A 26546-nucleotide genomic window follows, 5' to 3' on the forward strand; every position below is an offset into this window, starting at 1 on the left:
TAGTTAACATTGCATGTCTGTATCAAAACATATTATGTGCCCTAAAAATATATACACCTACTATGTACCCATGAAAATTAGAACTTAAAAAAATTTTTTAAAGGAATATTTCTAGAGGGAGGATATCTTTCATAGATTATATATTTGAAAGGTCATACCTAGGCCAGGCATGGTGGCTCAAACCCGTAATCCCAGCACTTTGGGAGGCTGAGGTGGGCAGATCATGAGGTCAGGAGTTGGAGACCAGCCTGACCAACATGTTGAAACCCCATCTCTACTAAAAATACAAAAATCAGCCAGGCATGGTGGCACGCACCTGTAATCCCAGCTACTAGGGAGGCTGAGGCAGGAGAATCGCTTGAACCCAGTAGGCAGAGGTGGCAGTGAGCCAAGATGGTGCCACTGCACTCCAGCCTGGCCAACAGAGAGAGACTCCGTCTCAAAAAAAAAAACAGGTCATACTTCTTTATAAAGTATACTTAGAATGTGTAAAAGTCAAAATGATTACTACCTTTTTTATTTTTCTGAGATAGAATTTTACTCTGTTGTTAAGGCTGGAGTACAGTGGCATCATCATGGCTCATTGTAGCCTTGAACTCCTGGGTTCAAGGAATCCTCCTGCCTCAGCCTCCCCAGTAGCTGGGACTACAGGTATGTACTATCATGCTCAGCTAAATTTAAAATTTATCTTTTGTAGAGACAGGGTTTCAGTATGTTGACCAGGCTGGTTTTGAACTGCAGGCCTCAAGTAATCCTCTCACCTTGGCCTCTCAAAGTGTTGGGATTGTAGGCATGAGCCACCATGCCCAACTGATTACCACTTTTTGAATATCACAGAACTGTTTTTAGGCTGAATGAGATAAACACTTTAAAAACACATTAATATTCTTTTTCTTCCAACTTTTATTTTAGATACAGGGAATACATGTGCAGGTTTGTTACATGGGTACATTGCACCCAGGTAGTGAGCATAGTACCCAATAGGTAGTTTTTGACCCATTACCCCTCTCCCTTCTCCCCTCTAGCAGTCCACAGTGTCTGTTGCTCCCATGTTCATGTCCATGAATGCTCAATGTTTAGCTCCCACTTATAAGTGAGAACATGTGGTATTTGGTTTTCTGTACCTACATTAATTCACTTAGGATTATGGCCTCTAGCTCCATCCATGTTGCTACAAAGGACATGATTTCATTCTTTTTTATGGCTGCATAGTACTCCATGGTATATATGTACCATATTTTCTTTATCCAGTTCACCTTGATGGGCACCTAGGTTGACTCCATGTCTTTGCTATTGTGAATAGTGCAGCAATGAATGTACGAGTGCATGGGGAGAATGATGTATTTTCCTTTGGCATACCCACTAATGAATGGGACTGCTGAGTCAAATTGTAGCTCTGTTTTAAGTTCTTTGAGAAATCTCCAAACTCATTTCCACAGTAGCTGAATTAATTTACATTCCCACCAACAGTGTATAAGCATCCTCTTTTCTCAGCAGCCTTGCCAGCATCTGTGTTTTTTCTTTTTTGACTTTTTAATAATAGTCATTCTGACTGGCATGAGATGGTATCTCACTGTGGTTTTGATTTGCATTTCTCTGATGATGAGTGATAATGAGCATTTTTTCATATGTTTCTTGGCCACTTATATATCTTCTTTTGAGAAAATGTCTGTTCATGTCCTTTGACCATTTTTAAATGGGGTTATTTCGTTTTTGCTTCTTAAGTTCCTTATAGATTCTGGATATTAGACCTTTGTTGGATGCATAGTTTGTGAATATTTTTTCCCATTCTGTAGGTTGTCTATTGATAGTTTCTTTTGCTGTGCAGAAGCTTTTTAGTTTAATTAGGTCCCACTTGTCAGTTTTTGTTTTTGTTGCAATTGCTTTTGGGGACTTGGCCAAGAATTATTTGCCAAGGCTGATGTTGAGAAGGATATTTCCTAGGTTTTCTTCTAGGATTTTTATAGTTTGAGATCTTACATTTAAATCTTTAATCTATCTTGAATTAATTTTTGTATATAGTGAAAGGTAAGGGTCCAGTTTCATTCTTCTGCATATGGCTAGCCAGTTATCCCAGCACCATTTATTAAACAGGGAGTCCTTTCCCCAGTGCTTGTTTTTGTCAGCCTTGTCAAAGATAAGATTGTTTTAAGTGTGTGCTTTATTTTTGAGTTTTCTGTACTTTCCATTGGTCTATGTTTCTGTTTTTGTACCGGTACCATGCAAAACGCAATCTTCATGAAAGGATGTGCTAGAGAAATACATATGCCATCACATATTTATATAATCGTTTGGATTCTCTTTCCTTTTCTTCTGGTTTTTGGGAACATTCTAAGAAAGGAAGAGTAATCCTTATAGGCTTCCATTTAAGTGAATCTTGAACTCAAGTTCATCTTTCTTGAACATAGTTTTTTTTTTTTTTTTTCCTTTCTGTTCTCCAGAGGCTCCTTGGAGATCAGACAGCTATTCAAATGGCCTCACCTTGGGTTTCTGTTAGGGGAATACTTGAGATTCCCTAGCTCTTTTGCTGAACTCTAAAGTTCTTTTCAATGAAATCTAGATTTTTTATGGATTGGCATTTAGGTTCGTTGGAAAAAGAAGCTTTCTGGGAGTAAAGTTGTTCCTTTCACCCAGTCTTCTAAAGGAGGATGAAGTAGAGAAAGGAATTTTATTTGTTCTCATGATGTGGGCTGGAGCAAATGAGGTGGGCAGGGAATAAAGACTGAGATTGAATAGCCTTGCTTGCTTTTACAGAACAGACAAGTGAACTGACAAGCCTACGGGTCAAGTTTCTATACCATTTAATCTGTACCAGCACTCTTGAGGCTCCTTGCCAAGTGAAATATGACTCTTCTGGGGGTAATGCTTCTTCCTGGCTTTTTTCATTTTACTCCCCTCCCCATCTCTGTTACAAGTCTTTTCCCTATTACACTGGTTGCTTGAAGGTAGGCATCATTTAAATTTTTTTTTGAGGCAGAGTCTCCCTCTGTTGCCCAGGCCGGAGTGCAGTGGTGCAATCTTGGCTCACTGCAACCTCCGTCTCCCGGGTTCAAGAGATTCTCCCGCCTCAGCCTCCCGAGTAGCTGGGATTACAGGCACCCGCCACCATACCTGGCTAATTTTTGTATTTTTACTAGAGACGGGGTTTCACCGTGTTAGCCAGGCTTGTCTTGAACTCCTGGCCTCAAGTGATCTGCCCGCCTTGGCATCCCAAAGTGTTGGGATTATAGGTGTGAGCCATTTGTGCCCGGCCTCATTTATTCTTCATCTTTGCATTCCTGGTACTTGGCATGATGCTTTGCATATAATAGATGTTAGCTAAATATTTATTGAATCAACAGCAGTATCTATATTTTAAGTTATTGAATACTATCTACTCTTCTAGATTTTGTTATAATAAGGACTACTTTCTTGTTTTTTCCTCCCTTTCTTTTTTTATTTTTTTTATTTATTATTATTTTTTATTATACTTTAAGTTCTAGGGTATATGTGCACAACATGGAGGTTTGTTACATATGTATACATGTGCCATGTTGGTGTGCTGCACCCATTAACTTGTCATTTACATTGGGTATATCTACTAATGCTATCCCTTCCCCCTCCCCCCACCCCAAGACAGGCCCCAGTGTGTGATGTTTCCCATCCTGTGTCCAAGTGTTTTCATTGTTCAATGCCCACCTATGAGTGAGAACATGCGGTGTTTGGTTTTCTCTCCTTGTGACAGTTTGCTCAGAGTGATGGTTTCCAGCTTCATCCATGTCCCTACAAAGGACATGATCTCATCCTTTTTTATGGCTGCATAGTATTCCATGGTGTATATGTGCCCATTTTCTTAACCCAGTCTATCATTGATGGACATTTGGGTTGGTTCCAAGTCTTTGCTATCGTGAATAGTGCCACAATAAACATACATGTGCATGTGTCTTTATAGCAGCATGATTTATAATCCTTTGGGTATATACCCAGTAATGGGATGGCTGGGTCAAATGGTATTTCTAGTTCTAGATCCTTGAGGAATCGCCACACTGTCTTCCATAATGGTTGAACTAGTTTACAGTCCCACCAACAGTGTAAAAATGTTCCTATTTCTCCACATCCTCTCCAGCACCTGTTGTTTCCTGACTTTTTAATGATCACCATTCTAACTGGTGTGAAATGGTATCTCATTGTGGTTTTGATTTGCGTTCTCTGATGGCCAGTGATGATGAGCATTTTTTCATGTGTCTGTTGGCTGCATAAATGTCTTCTTTTGAGAAGTATCTGTTCGTATCCTTTGCCCACTTTTTGATGGGGTTGTTTGATTTTTTCTTGTAAATTTGTTGAAGTTCTTTGTAGATTCTGGATAGTAGCCCTTTGTCAGATGGGTAGATTGCAGAAATTTTCTCCCATTCTGTAGGTTGCCTGTTCACTCTGATGGTAGTTTCTTTTGCAGTGCAGAAGCTCTTTAGTTTAATTATACCCCATTTCTCAGTTTTGGCTTTTGTTGCCATTGCTTTTGGTGTTTTAGACGTGAAGAAGTCCTTGCCCATGCCTGTCCTGAATGGTATTGCCTAGGTTTTCTTTTCTTTTCTTTTCTTTTTTTTTTTGCCTAGGTTTTCTTCTAGGGTTTTTATGGTTTTAGGTCTGACATTTAAGTCTTTAATTCATCTTGAATTAATTTTTGTATAAGGTGTAAGGAAGGGATCCAGTTTCAGCTTTCTACATATGGCTAGCCAGTTTTCCCAGAACCATTTATTAAATAGGGAATCCTTTCCCCATTTCTTGTTTTTGTCAGGTTTGTCAAAGATCAGATGGTTGTAGATGTGTGGTATTATTTCTGAGGGCTCTGTTCTGTTCCATTGGTCTATATCTCTGTTTTGGTACCAGTACCATGCTGTTTTGGTTACTGTAGCCTTGTAGTATAGTTTGAAGTCAGATAGCATGATGTCTCCAGCTTTGTTCTTTTGGCTTAGGATTGTCTTGGAAATGAGGGCTCTTTTTTGGTTCCATATGTACTTTAAAGTAGTTTTTTCCAGTTCTGTGAAGAAAGTCATTGGTAGCTTGATGGGGATGGCATTGAATCTATAAATTACCTTGGGCAGTATGGCCATTTTCACGATATTGATTCTTCCCATCCATGAGCATGGAATGTTCTTCCTTTTGTTTGTGTCCTCTTTTATTTCGTTGAGCAGTGGTTTGTAATTCTCCTTGAAGAGGTCCTTCACATCCCTTGTAAGTTGGATTCCTGGGTATTTTATTCTCTTTGAAGTAATTGTGAATGGGCGTTCACTCATGATTTTGCTCTCAGTTTGTCTGTTATTGGTGTATAGGAATGCTTGTGATTTTTGCACATTGATTTTGTATCCTGAGACTTTGCTGAAGTTGCTTATCAGCTTAAGGAGATTTTGGGCTGAGATGATGGGGTTTTCTAAATATATAATCATGTCATCTGCAAAGAGGGACAATTTGACTTCCTCTTTTCCTAATTGAATACCCTTTATTTCCTTCTCCTGCCTAATTGCCCTGGCCAGAACTTCCAACACTATGTTGAATAGGAGTGGTGAGAGAGGGCATCCCTGTCTTGTGCCAGTTTTCAAAGGGAATGCTTCCAGCTTTTGCCCATTCAGTATGATATTGGCTGTGGGATTGTCATAAATAGCTCATTATTTTGAGATACACCCCGTCAATACCTGATTTATTGAGAGTTTTTAGCAGGAAGGGCTGTTGAATTTTGTCAAAGGCCTTTTCTGCATCTGTTGAGATAATCATGTGGTTTTTGTCTTTGGTTCTGTTTATATGATGGATTACATTTATTGATTTGTGTATGTTGAACCAGTCTTGCATCCCAGGGATGAAGCCCACTTGATCATGGTGGATAAGCTTTTTGATGTACTGCTGGATTCGGTTTGCCAGTATTTTATTGAGGATTTTTGCATCGATGTTCATCAGGGATATTGGTCTAAAATTCTCTTTTTTTGTTATGTCTCTGCCAGGCTTTGGTATCAGGATGATGCTGGCCTCATAAAATGAGTTAGGGAGGATTCCCTCTTTTTCTATTGATTGGAATAGTTTCAGAAGGAATAGTACCAGCTCCTCTTTGTACCTCTGGTAGAATTCAGCTGTGAATCCATCTGGTCCTGGACTTTTTTTGGTTGGTAGGCTATTAATTATTGCCTTAATTTCAGAGCCTGTTATTGGTCTACTCAGGGATTCAACTTCTTCCTGGTTTAGTCTTGGGAGAGTGTATGTGTCCAGGAATTTATCCATTTCTTCTAGATTTTCTAGTTTATTTGCGTAGAGGTGTTTATAGCATTCTCTGATGGTAGTTTGTATTTCTGTGGGATCAGTGGTAATATCCCCTTTATCATTTTTTATTGCGTCTATTTGATTCTTCTCTCTTTTCTTCTTTATTAGTCTTGCTAGTGGTCTATCAATTTTGTTGATCTTTTCAAAAAACCAGCTCCTGGATTCATTGATTTTTTGAAAGTTTTTTTGTGTCTCTATCTCCTTCAGTTCTGCTCTGATCTTAGTTATTTCTTGCCTTCTGCTAGCTTTTGAATTTGTTTGCTCTTGCTTCTTTAGTTCTTTTAATTGTGATGTTAGGGTGTCAGTTTTAGATCTTTCCTGCTTTCCCTTGTGGGCATTTAGTGCTATCAATTTCCCTCTACACACTGCTTTAAATGTGTCCCAGAGATTCTGGTATGTTGTGTCTTTGTTCTCATTGGTTTCAAAGAACATCTTTATTTCTGCCTTCATTTCATTATGTACCCAGTAGTCATTCAGGAGCAAGTTGTTCAGTTTCCATGTAGTTGATTGGTTTTGAGAGAGTTTCTTCATGCTGAGTTCTAGTTTGATTGCACTGTGGTCTGAGAGACAGTTTGTTATAATTTCTGGTGTTTTACATTTGCTGAGGAGTGCTTTACTACCAACTATGTGGTCAATTTTGGAATAAGTGCGATGTGGTGCTGAGTAGAATGTATATTCTGTTGATATGGGGTGGAGAGTTCTGTAGATGTCTACTAGGTCTGCTTGGTGCAGAGCTGAGTTCAATTCCTGGATATCCTTGTTAACTTTCTGTCTCGTTGATCTGTCATATGTTGACAGTGGGGTGTTAAAGTCTCCCATTATTATTGTGTGGGAGTCTAAGTCTCTTTGTAGGTCTCTAAGGACTTGCTTTATGAATCTGGGTGCTCCTGTATTGGGTGCGTATATATTTAGGATAGTTAGCTCTTCTTGTTGAATTGATCCCTTTACCATTATGTAATGGCCTTCTTTGTCTCTTTTGATCTTTGTTGGTTTAAAGTCTGTTTAATCAAAGACTAGGATTGCAACCCCTGCTTTTTTTTGTTTTCCATTTGCATGGTAGATCTTCCTCCATCCCTTTATTTTGAGCCTATGTGTGTCTCTGCATGTGAGATGGGTCTCCTGAATATAGCACACTGATGGGTCTTGACTCTTTATCCAATTTGCCAGTCTGTGTCTTTTAACTGGAGCATTTAGCCCATTTACATTTAAGGTTAATATTGTTTTTTATTTTATTTTATTTTTTTTTTTGAGACGGAGTTTCGCTCTGTCGCCCAGGCTGGAGTGCAGTGGTGCAATCTCGACTCACTGCAAGCTCCGCCTCCCGGGTTCACGCCATTCTCCTGCCTCAGCCTCCCGTCTAGCTGGGACTACAGGCACGCGCCACCATGCCCGGCTAATTTTTGTATTTTTAGTAGAGACGGGGTTTCACCATGTTAGCCAGGATGGTCTCGATCTCCTGACCTCGTGATCCGCCCGTCTCGGTCTCCCAAAGTTAAGGTTAATATTGTTAATGTGTGAATTTGATCCTGTCATTATGATGTTAGCTGATTATTTTGCTCTTTAGTTGATGCAGTTTCTTCCTAGCATTGATGGTCTTTACAATTTGGCATGTTTTTGCAGTGGCTGGTACTGGTTTTTCCTTTCCACGTTTAGTGCTTCCTTCAGGGGCTCGCCTGGTGGTGATAAAATCTCTCAGCATTTGCTTGTCTGTAAAGGATTTTATTTCTCCTTCACTTATGAAGCTTAGTTTGACTGGGTATGAAATTCTGGGTTGAAAATTCTTTTCTTTAAGAATGTTGAATATTGGCCCCCACTCTCTTCTGGCTTGTAGAGTTTCTGCCAAGAGATCTGCTGTTAGTCTGATGGGCTTCCCTTTGCGGGTAACCCGACCTTTCCCTCTGGCTGTCCTTAACATTTTTTCCTTCATTTCAGCTTTGATGAATCTGACAATTTTGTGTCTTGGAGTTGCTCTTCTCGAGGAGTATCTTTGTGGTGTTCTCTGTATTTCCTGAATTTGAATGTTGGCTTTCCTCGCTAGGTTGGGGAAGTTCTCCTGGATAATATCCTGAAGAGTGTTTTCCAACTTGGTTCTGTTCTCCGCATTACTTTCAGGTACACCAATCAGATGTAGATTTGGTCTTTTCACATAGTCCCATATTTCTTGGAGGCTTTGTTCGTTTCTTTTTACTCTTTTTTCTCTAAACTTCTCTTCTTGCTTCATTTCATTCATTTGATCTTCAATCACTCTTACCCTTTTTTCCAGTTGATCAAATCGGCTACTGAAGCTTGTGTGTGTGTCACATAGTTCTTGTGCCATGGTTTTCAGCTCCATCAGGTCATTTAAGGTCTTTTCTACACTGGTTATTCTAGTTAGCCATTCGTCTAATCATTTTTCAAGGTTTTTAGCTTCTTTGCGATGGATTCGGACATCCTCCTTTAGCTCGGAGAAGTTTGTTATTACCTATCGTCTGAAGCCTTCTTCTCTCAACTCGTCAAAGTCGTTCTCCGTCCAGCTTTCCTCTGTTGCTGGCGAGGATCTGCGTTTCTTTGGAGAAAAGGCACTCTGATTTTTAGAATTTTCAGCTTTTCTGCTCTGGTTTCTCCCCATCTTTGTGGTTTTATCTACCTTTGGTCTTTGATGATGGTGACGTACAGATGGGGTTTTGGTGTGGATGCCCTTTCTGTTTGTTAGTTTTCCTTCTAACAGACAGGACCCTCAGCTGCAGGTCTGTTGGAGTTTGTTGGAGGTCCACTCCAGACCCTGTTTGCCTGGGTATCACCAGCGGAGGCTGCAGAACCGCAAATATTGCAGAGGAGCAAATGTAGTTGCCTGATCGTTCCTCTGGAAGCTTTGTCTCAGAGGGGCACCCAGCCGTATGAAGTGTCAGTCGGCCCCTACTGGGAGGTGCTTACCAGTTAGGCTACTCGGGGGTCAGGGACCCACTTGAGGAGGCAGTCTTTCCATTCTCAGATCTCAAACTCCGTGCTGGGAGATCCATTACCCTCTTCAAAGCTCCGTTGGAAATGCGGAAATCACCCGTCTTCTGCGTCGCTCACGCTGGGAGCTGTAGACTGGAGCTGTTCCTATTCGGCCATCTTGGAACCTCCCCTTTTCCTCCCTTTCTTGATTCTTTGTGGTAAAGCTCTATATTGTGCCATTTTAGAAGCTGTATACTGTGCGCCTTGCACTCCAAAAGTGAATTCCACTTGTTCTGTGTAGCCAATGCTGAGCTGTAGTGAACCAACAGTAAGGCTGACTGTAGGCAGCTTTTATCTACCAACACACTGTTGAAAAAAAATCGTAAGATTTTCTACAGTGCTGATAGAAATGTACTTGCCAAGCAGGCTGTTTCTTGTCCCCAGAAAGCTGAAATTTACATAATATACGAGTGACACATACCTGACACTTCCATAAGTCTATGACACCAGATTGGCTTGAGGTAAATTATTCTAAGAAGTGAAAAGTAAACCAGCTCCAGAAACTTTTGGGTTTTCTTTTTTTTTGAAGACCTGAAAGGTGTGGATGTATGACAGAATGGGAAATAGTGTAAGTATAATTTGGTAGACAAGGAGACCTGGATGATGGAAGCTCCTGAGTTTACTTTGTGAATTTGATTTAGTTAGTGAAAATCCTTCACTTTCAGGCTTCAGTTTTTTTGTTTTGTTTTTTTTTGTTTTTTGAGATGGAGTCTTGCTCTGTCGCCCAGGCTGGGGTGCAGTGGCGCGATCTCGGCTCACCGCAAGCTCCGCCTCTCAGGTTCACGACATTCTCCCGCCTCAGCCTCCCGAGTATCTGGGACTACAGGTGCCCGCCACATGCCCGGCTAATTTTTGTTTTTTGTATTTTTAGTAGAGAGGGGGCTTCACCGTGTTAGCCAGGATGGTCTCGATTTCCTGACCTTGTGATCCGCCTGCCTCGGCCTTCCAAAGTGCTGGGATTACAGGTGTGAGCCACCGCGCCTGGCCTCAGGCTTCAGTTTTGTATTGATTAATAAGAGAAACATAGTGAAGTGGAAAGAGCACTACCCTAGAAGGAAAAAGAGCTGCTTATTCTTCTAAGTCCTCACTCTATAACCCTGGGCAAATTTCTGAAATATGGGCTTCAGTTGCCTCATCTATGAAGTGGGTTTAATAAAGCCTTACATGATAATAATAATAATATAATAATTATATATTATAATATGCAGTTTTTACTAAACTAATACCATGTCTCAGCTACTACAATTCTTTGAGATGGGTACTATTATTATTGTTATCTCTGTTTTATAGAGGAGGAAGTGGATGCTCAGAAAGATTAAAATAGCTTCTTCAAGTTCACAAGCTGTTAAGTGACAGACTCAGGAATCAAGCCTCATCTGCAGTATTATAGAGTCCACTGTTCTCTACTGCCTCCAAGCCACTTTACTGCTTAATGTTGCTAGAGGGCTAACCAGATCATATTTGGAGGTTTCTTCTAGCTATAATTTCTACTATTTTTGAATTCTCCCTTATGAACTATACTTTGCAAGCTTATCACACAGCCTTAGCTGGTGACCTCAGTTTACTGCCATTTAAATGTTTAATATGGCCTTTTGGGGGATGCAACTAGAGCTGACTATAAAGAGCAGGAAGCATGATTTTCAAAAATATGTTAACGGTATCCTTCCATCTTACAGTTTCGAGTTCACATCTTGAGACTTTCATATATTTAGCCGTGGGTGATTTACCTTTAAACAGTGATAAAAGTACTCCTTGAAATTGTATTTGGAAGGCTTCTCTTCTGATTTTCTTCTCTGGGTCTGCTTGCCCTCTCACCTATGCTGTCTGTCACTCCTTGGTTGTTGGTGTTTTCAAACAAGTCCATGACTGTTCCAGCAAATCTGGATAAACTGTAAAACACAAGTGGCTGAACAGTACTTTGTGTATGTCTGCAAGACCATGAGCTCTGTAGATCATATTCCTCTGGACACTCTTGAAAGACGGATACTAAATCCCAGAGGATTTTCTTTTATGTTGTATGTAACCTCTACCTCTGAATGTTGTCCTTCAACCAGTGGAAGGTAAAAGAAATTAATATTTAGAGGTGCTACTCTAAGAATAGGCCAAATGTCAGCACTGGGTCAGGACCTCTGAAGAAATACATCCAAGAAAATGGGCGAGAGTAGCTCTAACTTAGAAACCACAGCAGAGTGTGACCAGATTCTTGTGGTAAAGATAAAATGAGAAATGTGGCTTTTTGAGACATTGGAAAATAATGATGAGAGAAAAACAGGATGAAATCTGAGAATTTGTATCAGAATTGGGAACCATTCTTCACAGGCTAAATTGATAGTTCCAACACTATGGCATCAGGGAGCTTGACTTCCACATACTAATATAGAAAAGAATAATATTCTGTGGTCTTGGTTGGTGGGCCCAGGAGAGCTCGCTTTTATGATCAAGTGTCTTGTTTTCGTTTTTTAAAGGATGATTTTAGTTTTTTGGTGAAGTTTTTATGATGACTGTTTTGGTTGCAAGGGAAAGAAGTACACAGACTACCTTTGGTTTATTTTAAGGATACGTGAGAATATGCAGCATTCATTTGTGAATTATTCATTCACAAATTACTTTTGGGCACCTACTCTGTGCCTGTGTGTACTATGCAATGGGAATAGAGCAGTGAGCAAGACAAATAAGGTACCTATCTTTATGAACCTAGTGTTTTAATGAGGGTAATAATCAATAAACAAGCAAACTGATGGGGATGAGAATAGCTAATAGTTAATAAGCACTGTGTGCTAGGCACTGTTCTAAGCATATAATATCCATTATTTTATTTAATCTTCACAGTTCTATATAAACAGGGTATTAGTATTATCCTCATTTTACTCATAAGGAAATTCAGGCTATAAAAGTAACATTCTCATGGTTACATAGCTGGTAACTGTAACAAGACAAATAACAAGAAAACAGCCAGAGTAAGGTAATATATAGTATGGACAGGGAAGTCCTCTTGGAAGAGATGACGATTGAGAGCTCATCCCATCAGAGAGCCAATAACTTAGCTCAGAGGGTGATGCACCTTTTCTTTGTCCACCTTGATTATCTAAGTAAGCTTCCTGTGTCCAAAAATGATCATTTGATTGATTTTATTTGTTGCTACTGAGAATGGAGTACCCTTACTAGGCAGTGTTCTTAGGACCCCCTCATGGGTAACTGGCCTCCCTCATGCTCTGCTCCTATTTAACCAGTGAAAGTAAATAAAATAATTCATCATCAAAAGTATTTGTGTTCTACACTACATAGTATAAATATGGAGATGGAAATCTTTGTCAGTTTTTAGAAAAGGAGCATTAATAATTTCATTTTGATACATGTTAATCATCAGAATTAATTTTGATTCAAATAAATCCATAAAATATGAACTTCATTAATTCATCCTTGGAGAAAAAAAGAGATTCCAATAGTGCATACCCGTTTTTTTTTTCTTTTTTCTTTTCTTTTACTTTAAGTTCTGGGATACATGTGTAGAACGTGCAGGTTTGTTACATAGGTAATAGTGCATATTCCTAAATAACTTAAAACGTAACTCTAATGAAAACAATCCATGATTATAAAATATGTATCATTTCTTGTTATTTTTTTTTTCAGACAGGTGCTTTAAGCCCTATGAAAAGATGACCCACTTCTTTCCTACATAATCTATAACAATCAGGGCATAAACATTCATTCTAAAGGTGACAGATTTTTTAAGGATCATTCACCATCTAGAGTTTAAATAATGTTGTTTGGGGTTCTTCTTGTGTCCATGGTAACAGAGGAGCAGGTGTGAGGCAACAAGAAGCACATCAGAACAAACCAAGACTTCGCTGATTTCCAGCTTGTAGCTCTGAATGAGAGATGGACTTGAGACTTCTTTGGGCCATTTCTGCTCATGTTTTCTCTACTTATTTACGTTAAATTGAGCCAAAATGTGGTGTGGTAAAGTAATGGTGACTAATCCTATTATAGACTTCTTCAAAAGGGGTAATGCTTCCCCCTTTACCCACCCCCTCCCCTGACTTTTTTCCATAGTTCAGTTCTTAGCTGTTAAACATTGTAACAGAAAATTACCCGTTTCTCATTGTCAGCATCTGGTTTCCCACAGACTCAGATAATTGTCAGGAAGAGATTTGCCTTCAGTTAAAGCAACCCTATCCCCACTGTTACTAGGCCAGGCACCTCTGTTAGACCATCATAGAACCAAATCTATAGAGGATTCTTTCTGGCTCTTTTCTGTATTACTAGAGGTATGCTATAGCAAAAAGACTACAGGGAGCCATGGTGGTGAGTTAAGAGTCAAAATCTGTTTTGAAACTTAAAAATCCAGGGTCATTGAGGATGCAAGAAGTTGCCTGTTTTTGTAGAATCCATCTCACTTCTTCAGTCCCTTTGTATTATGGTTACAGGAAACTATCCAGCAGCACTTGACCTGGTAATGGAGGAAGCTATTTCACAGCCCACTGGTCCCTTGACTCGTTTAGAAGTCAGAGTCAAAGGTTACAGAAGTAATAATTGGGCCCAGATTCTCCCTGTCAGGAAAGACCTTGTTCCCCCCACCCCACCCCCTGCCTTCTACAAGTTAAGAGAAACTTATCTGTTATAAAACCATTCAATAAGAGGAAATGAAGAAACACCATCCTTGGCTGAAGTGTTCTCAAGCCCCAATGATACTATTTCTGTTTTCATGGGAGCTGCTTTTGCAGCTAGCTAGTATAAAATTTAGGTCTGATTTTTTACATTAAAATATCTCCCCTTAGATAAATAACTTGATTTATTTCAATCTATAAATAATATGAAGGATCTTTATTTGGTCCAAGCCCTGATATTCCTTCACACCACCACTCTGATAATTCCCTGAATACTTGTCTGGCAATCAAGTACACTCACACGAGTCTTAATTAACAAGTGTTATGCCATTAGCAATGTAAAGTCAGTCATCAAAAGTTAAGAAACTAGGCCAGATTATAGGCTCACACCTATAATCCCAGCACTTTGGGAAGCCAAGGTGGGAAAATCACTTGAGGCCAGGAGTTTGAGGCCATCCTGGGCAACACAATGAGACCCCTGTCTCTACAAGAAGAATAAGAAGTTTAAAAAGCTTTACTTCACCAGCAACAGAACAATTTAAAATTTTCAGTGCTTTTAATTTCTTCCATAATTTGCTCAGAACTCTAGCAGATCAATCTGTGGTGCCATTGGCACAGGCTTGGCACTGGAGTAGGAAAGAATGACACAATTTGGCACCTTTAACCAGAAGATCTTTAATGAGCTGGCGTGGGGGTGGAGGGGACAGAGAGGAAGGAAGGACAGTTAGGATTTTGGCAGTAACACAAAGGTTCTTCTTCCCTGAGAAAAGTGAAATGAAAGTCAAATGAAGCTTCACTCTGCTTTTAGAATTTGCTAAGATGTTTGTCTGTCTCTCAGCTCCCGGCCCCCTTGCAGGTGCATCATTATAGTCAGTGACTTCTCCAAAAAACAAATTGTCTCTCAGGATCCTTCAGGAGGGGTCATATCTAACCAATTTCTTGTCTGAGGACATAATTGTGATTCCCTTCTTCAACTATCAGATGCAATGCTACCAGCACTGCAGAAACTGTCTTATCAGAAAGTGGCACAAATGTGTACATTTCTTCTAGGTCACAGTTCTAGTATTGCTGAGTTCTGGGGCTGCAACAATAGATAATACTACAATGAGAGATGTTTGGGAAAAGCATTGTTTCCTGGGTGGCCGTAGAAGCAGACTTGAAATCATCCCTTTGTCATTAAATAATATCAACAACAAATGTCTTTGTTGATGTCATTGTATTGTAATTTTCTAGGTCTAGATTATTGCTAGGGATGATAATACCTATCTTCTAGGGTTGTTATGCAAATCACATGAAATTACACATGCAAGATGTCTGGCTATATATAATTCATCTTCATTGTGTGTTGTTCTCCTTAAGCTCCACTTTTCTGGGATTTTTGTATCTCTGTGGATCTGGATAGTCTTCCTTTTCTCTCTCTTTAAATGGCATCAGAGTTGAAGATCTTGAGGACTTTTTAGTCTCTCTTTTGTTTTTTGTTGTTGTTGTTGTTACTGGTTTGTTTTTGTTTTTGTTTTTTTGTTTTTGTTTTTTTTTTTTGAGATAGTGTCTCACTCTGTCACCCAGGCTGGAGTTGTAGCACAAACATGGCTCATTGCAGCCTTAACCTGGGCTCAAGCAATCCTCCTGCCTCAGCTTCCCATGTAGCCATGACCACAGGTGCGTGCCACCATACCCAGCTAACTTTTTTTTTTCTTTTTTATAGAGACGGGTCTCATTTTATTGCTCAAACTGGTCTTGAACTCCTGGGCTCATGTTATGCTCCTGCCTCAGCCTCCCAAAATGCTAGAATTACAGGTGTGCGCCACTGTACCTGGCCTCTCTTACTTTCTATAACACTTCTTTCTTGCCCTGTATTTTGTGTACGTTTTTGGAGACTAAAACATTCAATGATTGCCTGCATGACTCTTAACCACTTCACTCATCATTTAGTTCATTCACAGAATAGCCTAAGAAAGCTTTTCTATCTTTGTTTTCTTTGCATATGCCATTTTCTCACTTCCTGTCTTTACCCCCTTTCCTCTAGATACAGAATTTTAAAACTCAAGGTGTAGTGGGAGACTTGAGTCAGTCAACTCTATCCAACTTGTGTTGTTCCCACTCTTAGCTCTAGCAGTACAGTGATGGGCTCAGGGTAATGAAAAGCAGACTTTCTCTGCTGAGGTCATTGCTCCTCATGCTGGCAGCCTGCTCCAGGAAGCTGTTTATCTATGCTTGCAGAGCCAAGCTCCAGCCTCTGAACAGTTGGAATGTATTGAGAAACCACAGAGCCCAAAGAGAGAACATTACACAGGCAGTTCCAGGCAGGGAGAGTATATTTACACCAGACAAACTGCAGCTTACATGTGTGGGGATAATTGTTCATCTGCACACTCTCATACTTTACCTTCTATGCAATCTATATACCCTCTCAAGAAGGTTTAACCAGGAGAACTTGTACTGCTATGTCCAAATTACCCTGAACATCCCCTAAAATGTCATAAGGAAAAAGAGATACTACAGAAAATTGATGTAAAAACTTTTTAAGATAGTGGTTTTTTTGTTTTTCTGAGTCAAATTTTATGTTTAGAATCTTAGACCATGTAAGCCTGATCACTAAAGCATTCAAAAACACTGTTTCTTGCATGGAAATGTTTTTCTTCATCCCTTTACAAAAATATTAAGTATTGTTATAGAGCTTCAAATGTGCTCTATATTAATAGGAATATAAGATATGGTCACTTCCCTGTAAGATGTAATCTGGTTAAAGAGGTAAAACTCATTGAATAACGAACAATTACAGAGCAATACAAGACCTTATATAATGGCATTAAGTTATATGGCCCAGTACACTGAGAATTGAGAGTAAGGAAAAATAATGGCTATTAGTTAAGTAAAATTAGTTGAGTCTTATAGAGGAGTTTGTCTTAATTTTGGAAAGGAAGGTAGAGTTTGGATAAACAAAACAGAAAGGAGACATATTTTGCAACATGAAAGCACCATAACATAGTGGTTAAGAACATGGACTTTGGAATCAGATAGGTCTATGTTAGAGGGCCTGCCACTTTCTGGTATGAGATCTTGGGCAGATTGCTTACCTCATCTATAAAATAGGGAGACTCATATATAAAATATAAAATTCCATGTTACATAATTGTTGGAATGATTAAATGAGTTAATGAAAGTAAAGTGCTTGGCATTTCACTTAAGATACAATAAGTGTTGAATTAATTAGTAGCTACTGCTACTACTGTTGTTCACTCATTCATTCAATATATATTTATTGAGTGCCTACGTCTTAGCGTTCTAGATACTAGGGATATAGCAGTGAAAAAAACAGACCAGAAATTTCAACTCTTATGGAGCTTCCATTCTGAAATTGTTTTCATTTTACCTTTTTAGAATGTGTGTGAATAATTTTGGACTTACATAAAGTTTAAAAAAATCTATATATGGAGTTCCCACATCCATTTCATACAGCTTCTACTAATGTTAACATTTCCTGTATCCATAATATAACTGCCAAAATCAAGAACTTAACATTAATTCAAAACTATTAACTAATCTATACGTCTTATTTACATTTTCACCTCATTTTTGAAGGGCAGTTTTTTTCCTGAGATAAATTCTAGGTTGGCAGCTGTTTTACCATTCCATTATCTTTTGGTTTCTACTGACTTTGTTGAGAAGTTGCTCTCAGTTTTATTCTTGCTTCTTTGAAAATAATCTTTTTTTAAATCTCTGGATGGTTTTTGGATATTTCTACTTGGTCTTTGGTTTTTGATAGTTTTAGTGTAATGTGTCTAGTTTTGCTTTTCTTTATATTTAAACTATTCGGTGTTCTTAGTGCTTCTTGAACCTATAGCTTGATATCATTTATCAGTCCTGGAAAACTCTCAATAATTAGCTCTTCAAATTTACTTCTGTTCTACTCTCTCTCTGTCTCTGTCTCTTTTTTTTTTTTGAGGCAGGATCTCTGTCTGTCACCCAGGTTGGAGTGCAGTGGTGCAGTCATGGCTCACTGCAGCCTCTACCTCCTGGGCTCAGGCAATCCTCTTGCCTCACTCAGCCTCCCAAGTGGCTGGGACCACAGTTGCACGCCACCACACTCAGCTAATTTTTTTTTTTTTTTTTTTAGAGATAGGGTCTTGCCATCTTGCCCAGACTGGTCTCAAACTCCTGGGCTCAAGTGATCCTCCTGCCTCGCCCTCCCAAAGTGCTGGGATTACAGACATGAGCCAACACGACTGGCCTCTACCCTCTCTTTACTCCTATTGGGATTCTAATTACACAAACATTAGACCTTTTCATAGTATTCTCTGTCTCTTATGCTCTTTTTTGCATTTTCTATCATTTTGTGTGGTTTTTTTTTTTTTTTTTTTTTTGAGACAGAGTCTCACTCTGTCACCCAGGCTGGAGTGCAGTAGCACTATCTTGGCTCACTGCAACCCAGGTTTGCCTCCCAGGTTCAACCCACTCTGCCTTCCTGGTTCAAGTGATTCTTCTGCCTCAGCCTCCTGAGTAGCTGGGATTACAGGCGCCCACCACCGTGGCTGGCTAATTTGTGTTTTTAGTAGAGATGGGGTTTCACCATGTTGGGCAGGCTGGTCTCAAACTCCTGACCTCAAATGATCTGCCTGCCTCGGCCTCCCAAAGTGCTGGAATTACAGTCATGAGCCACCATGCCCAGCCCATCATTTTGTAGTTTATGCTTTATTCTGGATATTTTCTTCTGATCTATTTTCCAGGTCATTAATTCTCTCTTCATTTCTGTGTAATTTACTATTAAACCCATCTACTGAGTTCTTAATTCTAATTATTGTATTTTTTTAGTTCAAGTATTTTTATTCAGTTTTTGTTTGTTTCCTTGCTAAATCTTGTCTTTCATTTGCTTGAACATAGTAAATAAAGCATGGTTATTACAAAGTCCATAATTTATTGTCTGGATACCCTGTGGGTCTGTTTCTGTTTTCTGTCCTATCCATTTTTTTTTTACTCCATTATCTTATCTTGTGTTATACTTTTTTTTTTCTCTAGTTGAGTTATGTAAATTGTGTATGAGTTATGTAAATTGAAAAACTATACAGATAATGTGAGGCCCAGAATGATGTTATCTTTCTTCGGAGGGGATTTATATTTGCTTTTGGCAGATGGCCTGGGCACTAGCAATCCTGGATTACCTCAATCCCATGAGGGTTTGAAAGGATTTGAATATAGATTTACATCTCAGGGAGGGCTGATTTTCAGTATAGCTCTGAGGAGTGCCAAAAGAGCTTTAGGGTTTACCAGAGTCCCAGCCCCCAACGTGGGTGGGTCCTGAACTCTATTTTTTTTTTCTTTTCTTTTTGAGACTGAGTCTCACTCTGTCGCCCAGGCTGGAGTGCAGTGGAATGATCTTGGCTCACTGCAACCTCTGCCTCCCGGGTTCAAGTGATTCTCCTGCCTCAGCCTCCCAAGTAGCTGGGATTACAGGCCTGCGCCACCATGCCAGGCTAATTTTTTGTTTTTAGTAGAGACGGGGTTTCACCGTGCTGGCCAGGCTGGTCTCGAACTCCTGACCTGGTGATCTGCCCGCCTTGGCCTCTCAAAGTGCTGGGATTACAGGTGTGAGCCACCGCGCCCAGCCAACTCTGATTTTTTATCTGCAAGCCCTAACAGTCATTTGAAAACTCAGGAACTTAACATTAATTCAAAATTATTAACTGCTTAGTGTATCAGTTGAATCTTCCAGAACTGGCAGAGGCCCCTAGAGCTACCAGTGATATAATAATACCTTATTTCTGAAGTGGTGATAAGTATAAATGATATTGTGAGATATCTGGTATGACAGTAATGTTATATGAAAATATCTGAGGTTTCTTTTTTTTTATTTTAAAGTTTTTTGTAAAGATTTGGTCTTGCTATATTGCCCAGGCTACTCTCAAACTCCAGTCCTCAAGTCATCCTCCTGCCTCAGCCTCCTAAAGTGCTGGGATTACAGGTGTGAACCACTGTGCCTAGCCAATATCTGAGATTTCTATTATTGAAAGAGTCACAGGTACTGTTAATTCTGCTATGCTTATATTCATAATAGAAGGAAATGCCAAATTCCAGTTAGAGGTTAGTAAAAATAAACATAAAAATTTCCCTGGCTCATGCCTCCCAGCACTTTGGGAGGCTGAGCAAGCAGATCACAAGGTCAGGAGATCGAGACCATCCTGGCTAACACGGTGAAACCCCGTCTCTACTAAAAATACAAAAAAATTAGCTGGGCGTAGTGGCAGGCTCCTGTAGTCCCAGCTTCTCAGGAGGCTGAGGCAGGAGAATGCCAGGAACCCAGGAGGTGGAACTTGCAGTGAGCCAAGATCACACCACTGCACTCCAGCCTGGGCAACAGAGCAAGACTCCATCTAAAAAAAAAAAAAAAAATTTCCCTATCCAAGTGTGTGGATCTCTTGAATTTAATCCATGGACCCTTCTGTTTAGAAACCCTACACATTGGGAAAAGTGGCACTAAATGCTCAGCTCACCTTTCTCGGTTTTATTCTCTCATAACTTGGCCTTGTCATTCTTCATTTGCCTTGGTGGCTCTCTGATGACTTCAGACAATTGTCTTTAATAATTTATCCATTTTTTTCTCAGCCAGAAGAGTTAGTCTGAATTACCTACTCTACTTTTATTGGAGGAAGAACTCTTTTAAAACTTGCATTCTGATGGAACATATTAATAATTAGTTGAAGTAGAAAATATCATACACTGCAAGGGATCATAAAGGAATCTAATTTGACTCATGGAGGACTAGTACAAGGTAAAAAGCAACAAACAGAAAATATATAATGAGGATAGGGCCAGTTTGTGGAAGGCTCAATTATATTGAAATAAGTAGAAAGGTAAAATGGCTGAGTGTGGTGGCTCATGCCTGTAATCCCAGCACTTTGGGAGGCCAAGGCGGGAGCATCAGCTGGGGTCAGGAGCTCGAGACCAGTCCGGCCAACATGGTGAAACCCCATTTCTACTAAAAATAGAAAAATTAACTGGGTGTGGTGGCAGGCGCCTGTAATCCCAGCCACTTGGGAGGCTGAGGCAGAAGAATTGCTTGAACCTGGGAGGCAGAGGTTGCAGGGAGGTTGCAGTGACCCAAGATCGCACTACTGCACTCTAGCATGGGCAACAGAGTGACAGAGTAAGACTCTGTCTCAAAAAGAAAAAAAAAAGGAAGAGGAAGAAAGGCAAAGACAGTACCTCATAAATGCTGAGAAACTCATTGTTTGGTCTTCTTTCAATTTTTAAAATTCAGTAACTATTTATTAAATAGTTATCATATGCCAATCACTGTGTGTCAGATATGGTCCTCAAGAAATTCACTGTCATGTAAAAATTAGATAGTGACACAAATACAATTAAAATAGAGCATTAGAAGTTCTGGACTAGTGAGTAAACTTTGACAGGAAAAGTGATTATTTATACGGTCAGGAAAGAATTCACAGAATAGTGACATTAATTTAGTTTTAAAGAATGTGTAGATAATTATCAGACAGAGAAGAGAGAATGGAACTCCGGGAAGCGAAGACTACTTGGGAAAGGAGTGGAAATAAAAAGTAGATCCCAAGTTTAGTGTGCCTTGGCAAAAAGAGGAAAGTGGATGGGAATGGAGATCATGTTGAGAAATGAAATTCCTCAAAAGAGTGGGACCAGCTTTTCTTCAAAGAGTCTCACTTTATACAAATTCCGTAGCAGTAAATGTTCTTGGCCGAAGCAACGGAATCTGTCTCTGGCTATCTTAAGCAAAGAGACTGGAGTGGAAAGATGTGTCAGTTGCAGTAGCTGCTTATGGATCAGACTGTTGTGGTGAGACCTTTGCCTAGTTTCCTGATGCTCAGCCTCCAAAGCTCCTTTGATTCCTGTCTGTTTTTCAAGTCTGATGGTTCAGCCACCTGTGGATTTTGTGAGCCACTAATAATACCCTTCCAGCAGAGCCCTTTTTTGCTTAAGATAGTGAGACTTGGTTTCTGTTGCTTGCAACCAAGAACCCTATTACTGTTATTAATTTTTTTGGTACATTCTTGAGTCATTTAGGAATGTATTAGTTACCAGATGAAACTGAATTCTCATAAATGTTATTTGGTAGTGACTTTTACTTTGTAGGGAAAAAGAGGTATGATTGGACTGTTATTCTTATTTACAGGTAATATTTAGATTTTGTTTGATGTTAACACTGTCCCTGGTAAATTTTTTTTTCTTCTCTCAAGCTTCAGTGTGATTCCCCAGGAAAATCTTGGAAATTGCCAATAGAGAAGATGTATTACTAAGTATCAGAAGTTTTCTTGGAAGGACATCTAATAAGTTTCCCAAGATGTGATTCTGCCTGTTCAGTAGTTGCTTGAGTGCTGATGAAATTCCCCCCAAACACTTCCTAATATATTATTGAAATATTTGAGATAAAGGAAAGCTGAACATATTAAAACTAATTTTTAAGTGGTGAGAGAAGTGGAATTGAAGTCTATTTGAGGAATTTGAAACATTTATCACCCACGGTTTTTCCAAAAATATACATTTGTGTCAGTCTGTCAAACTTTTTATCAAAAAAAACTGTGAATTATCCATTTAAAATACATTTTTATTACATTTTCTTCTGTATCTGAGAAATATGCCAGATGGTAGAAATTTCCTAGAAGTCTCTGACACTTACAGATTGAAAGATGAATGACGAGAAGACAAGAATTTGGGTATCCAGATTAATAGATAGAACTTTACAACTATTGACTTCTTATTTGCTCTTGTTGAGTTTTGAAAAGGAATTAGGCAAGGTAGATGAAAATAGAGATTCTTCTCCCTTCAGTACCCATGTGATTTAACACAGCCATAGAAGGCTCCAAGTTTTGGGGTGTGGGCACAATTTCAAAGATATATTTCTATTAAGCTTCTTGAGAGTGATATGAAGAAGAAACGAAGTATAGAGTCTCTCAGATGCAAAAATCACTTAGAGGTAGGCCATGTATCCATCCTTATCACACTTCACTTTTTCCAAGAACTACGACTGGCTTGTCTTTTATGGCTTTTTAAGAATCTAACTTCATTGTGTAATCAGCTTATTTCCTCTCCATTATTAATGCCCTAATTGGCAGGTTTTCTGACCCATTTTCTTTTCTGTGATGCTCTTCTAGATGTCTAAACTTTTCATATCACAACATGGATTTAGGTAGTTTTTCAGTAATAAAAGTTGGTGTGAATATGCAGTAGTATGTGGATTAATTAACATACATTTAACAAATGTTTATTGAAGGCCTACTGCACCCTAGACATGTAATAAATAAATAAACAAATAAATTAGTAAGGTAGCTTCAGATAGTGATAAATTCTATTAAGAAAATCAGGAGCCGGACATGATGGCTCGTGCCTATAATCTCAGCGACTTGGGAGGCTGAAGCGGGAGGATTGATTGAGGCCAGGAGTTCAAGACCAACCTGGGCAACTTAGCAGTACCTCGTTTAAAAAAAAAAAAAAAATTAGCCAGGCTTAGTGGCACACACCTATAGTCCCAGCTACTCAGGGGGCTGAGGCAAGAGGATTGCTTCAGCCCAGTGAACTGTGATCATCCCACTGCACTCCAACCTGGGCAACAGAGTGAGACTGTGTCTCCAAAAAAAGGAAATAAAGGAGGGCTTTGGGATACTGAATGACTGGGAGATGGAAATCTACTTTCAATAGTGTAGTCAGAGAAGGCCTCACTGAGGCTTTCTATTGCCATTGCTATTTTAGATACTTGCTTAAAGAAAGAGAGGTGGTCTTTTAAAAAGTATATTCTTGATTAAGATAATGGAGAGAGAAGAGGAAGAAAAAAGGGATATTACAACCTGTAGCTGTATAGGGGAAAGGAAGAGAAAAAAGATAGGGGATAGGGGATAGCAAAGCAAACTTTATTTGCTTTGTAGATAGCTGTATAGGGGAAAGGAAGAGAAAAAAGAAAAAGAGAAGCTTGAACTTTATTATTTGCTTTGTAAATAATTTGTGACCATTGACTTCCATTTCAAGGATATAATAATGATAGGAATTGGCTGGCAGGTACGACTGGATTCACGATGGGAGCCCTTTCTTTAAATTATGCCACTAGGTCTTCTCTGAGGTGCCTTCTATATAAATCAGGATTCATAATCTCCCTGATTTTACAGGAGCCAGGAACTGAGTCTTCTTTTCTTTCTATCTCTCATAGGAATAAAAGGGGGAAATGAACATTTTTTTATACTACCGAGGTCAGGTATCCTTGGGTCTAATGTTAAACTTAAAACAGAAATTTCTGAGAGAGCCCTTTTATCCTTTGTTATTTAGAAAATACTTGACCCTCCTGTGCCCTTGCTGTATTGGTGCGAGACAGAATGGTTATATATATATTTTATTATATAAATAATAACTATATATAATAATATGTTATTATATAAATAATAACATATATATTTTATTATATAAATAACATATAATCATATATTATTATATAAATAACATATATAATCATATAGCATATATAACCATATGTAGTTATATATAAATGGTTATTATATATAACATATATAACCATATGTAGTTATATATAAATGGTTATATATATATATTTATTTATTTATTGTTGTTGTTTTGTTTTGTTTTAAGTTCCAGGGTACATGTACAGGATATGCAGGTTTGTTACATAGATAAACATGTGTGCCATGGTGATTTGCTGCATCTCTCAACCCATCACCTAGGTATTAAGCCCAGCATGCAATAGCTATTTTTCCTAATATTCTCCCTCCTGCACCCCTCCTAACAGACCCCAGTGTATGTTGTTCCCATCCCCATGTCCATGTTTTCTCACTGTTCATCTCCCACTTGTAAGTGAGAACATGCAGTGTTTGGTTTTCTGTTTCTGTGTTAGTTTGCTGAGGATAATGGCTTCCAGCTCCATCCATGTCCCTGCAAAGGACATGACCTCATTCCTTTTTATGGCTGCATAGTATTCTATGGTGTATATGTACCACATTTTCTTTATGCAGTCTATCATTGATGGGCATTTGGGTTGATTCTATGTCTTTGCTATTGTGAATGAACATATGCATGCATGTATCTTTACAATAGAATAATTTATATTCCTTTGGGTGTATACCCGGTAATGGGATTGCTGAGTCAAATGGTATTTCTGGTTCTAGGTCTTTGAGGAATCATCACACTATCTTCCACAATGGTTGAACTAATTTACATTCCCACCAACAGTGTAAAAGTGTTCATATTTCTTCACAGCCTTGCCAGCATCTGTTGTTTTTTGACTTTGTAATAATAGCCAGGTGCAGTAGCTCACACCCATAATCCTAACACTTTGGGAGGCCAAGGTGGGTGGATTGTTTGAGCCCAGGAGTTTGAGACCAGCCTGGGCAACATGACAAAACCCCATCTCTACAAAAAAATACAACAAAATTAGCCATGCATGGCAGTGCACACCTGTAGTCCCAGCTACTTGGTATGGCTTGAGCCCAGAAGGTCAAGGCTGCAATTAGCCATGAGTATGCCATTGTACTCCAGCCTGAGTGACACAGTGAGACCCCCATGAAAAGAAAGAGAGAAAGAGAAAAAGAAAGGAAAAAGAAAGAAGGAAGGAAGGAAGAAAGGAAGGAAGGAGAGAAAGAAAGAGAAAAGAAAGGAAGGAGGGAGGAAGAAAGAGAGAAGAGAAAGAAAGAGTAAAAGAGAGAAAGAAACAGAAAAGAAAGAGAAAGGAAGGAAGAAAGAAAAAAAGAAAGAAAAAGAAAAAAAAAAGAGAGAAAGGAAAGAAAGAAAGCCTGGCGCGGTGGCTCATGCTTGTAATCCCAGCACTTTGGGAGACTGAGGTGGGTGGATCACCGATCACCTAAGTTGGGAATTTGAGATCAGCCTGACCAACGCGGAAAAACCCCATCTCTACTAAAAATACAAAATTAGCCAGGCGTGGTGGTGCATGACTATAATCCCAGCTATTCGGGAGGCTGAGGCAGGAGAATCACACTTGGACCCGGGAGGCAGAGGTTGTGGTGAGCAGAGATCACACCATTGCACTCCAGCCTGGGCAACGAGCGAAACTCTGTCTCAAAGAAAGAGAAAGAGAGAGAAAGAAAGAGAGAGAGAAGGAAAGGAAGGAAGGGAGGGAGGGAAGGAAGGAAGGAGGGAGGGAGGGAGGGAAAGAGAAAGAAATTAGAAAAAGAAGAGCAATTTAAAAGTTAGGGGGGAAGGGGATGGAAAGAGTAAAGATTAGAGTAGAAATCAATGAAATAGATACCAGAAAAACAGTAGAGAAAATTAGTGAAGCCAAGCAGGTTCTTTGAGAAGATAAATAAAATCGGAAAATCATGAGCCAGACTGATCACAACAAAAGAGAGAAAAGACACAAATTACCAATATCAGGAACGAGAGAGATACATCATTACAGATTCTATAGGTATTAAGAGATAATAAGGAAATATTATCAATTTTATACCAATAAATTCAATGACTTAGACCAAACGGACAAAGACACAAAGGACATTCAAGAATAAATAGATAACTTGAAGAAACAGAATTTGTAGTTAAAAATAATCTCACAGGCTGGGCACGGTGGCTCACGCCTATAATCCCAGCAATCCAAGGCAGGGGGATCGCGAGGTCAGGAGACTGAGACCATCCTGGCCAACATGGTGAAACCCCGTCTCTACTAAAAAAAAAAAATACAAAAATTAGCCAGGC

The 26546-nt window shown here is 39.2% G+C and overlaps 1 protein-coding gene and 1 long non-coding RNA gene across 8 annotated transcripts in view, besides 2 other annotated features; both read left to right on the forward strand.

Annotated features, from left to right (window-relative positions):
* The window catches only part of CSTPP1 (centriolar satellite-associated tubulin polyglutamylase complex regulator 1), a 227697-nt gene that overhangs the window by 52100 nt on the left and 149051 nt on the right, over positions 1–26546 (forward strand). The window lies entirely within an intron of this gene.
* On the forward strand, positions 10188–22311 carry LOC124902670 (uncharacterized). The gene is made up of 2 exons (XR_007062665.1): positions 10188–20637; positions 22079–22311. It is a non-coding gene; the product is annotated as an uncharacterized LOC124902670 (long non-coding RNA).
* Positions 16012–16091: a silencer, noted in NCBI's record as "silent region_3320". NCBI's record gives its function as "represses an Ori minimal core promoter by ATAC-STARR-seq in GM12878 lymphoblastoid cells {active_cell/tissue: GM12878}" and the evidence as "EXISTENCE:reporter gene assay evidence [ECO:0000049][PMID:35858748]".
* Positions 19312–19812: an enhancer, noted in NCBI's record as "H3K4me1 hESC enhancer chr11:47029651-47030151 (GRCh37/hg19 assembly coordinates)". NCBI's record gives its function as "activates a minimal SCP1, AML or CMV promoter by ChIP-STARR-seq in naive H9 embryonic stem cells {active_cell/tissue: H9 hESC(naive)}" and the evidence as "EXISTENCE:reporter gene assay evidence [ECO:0000049][PMID:30033119]".

This window comes from Homo sapiens, chromosome 11, assembly GCF_000001405.40.
Source record: "Homo sapiens chromosome 11, GRCh38.p14 Primary Assembly".
NCBI classification, from domain to species: Eukaryota; Metazoa; Chordata; class Mammalia; order Primates; family Hominidae; genus Homo; species Homo sapiens.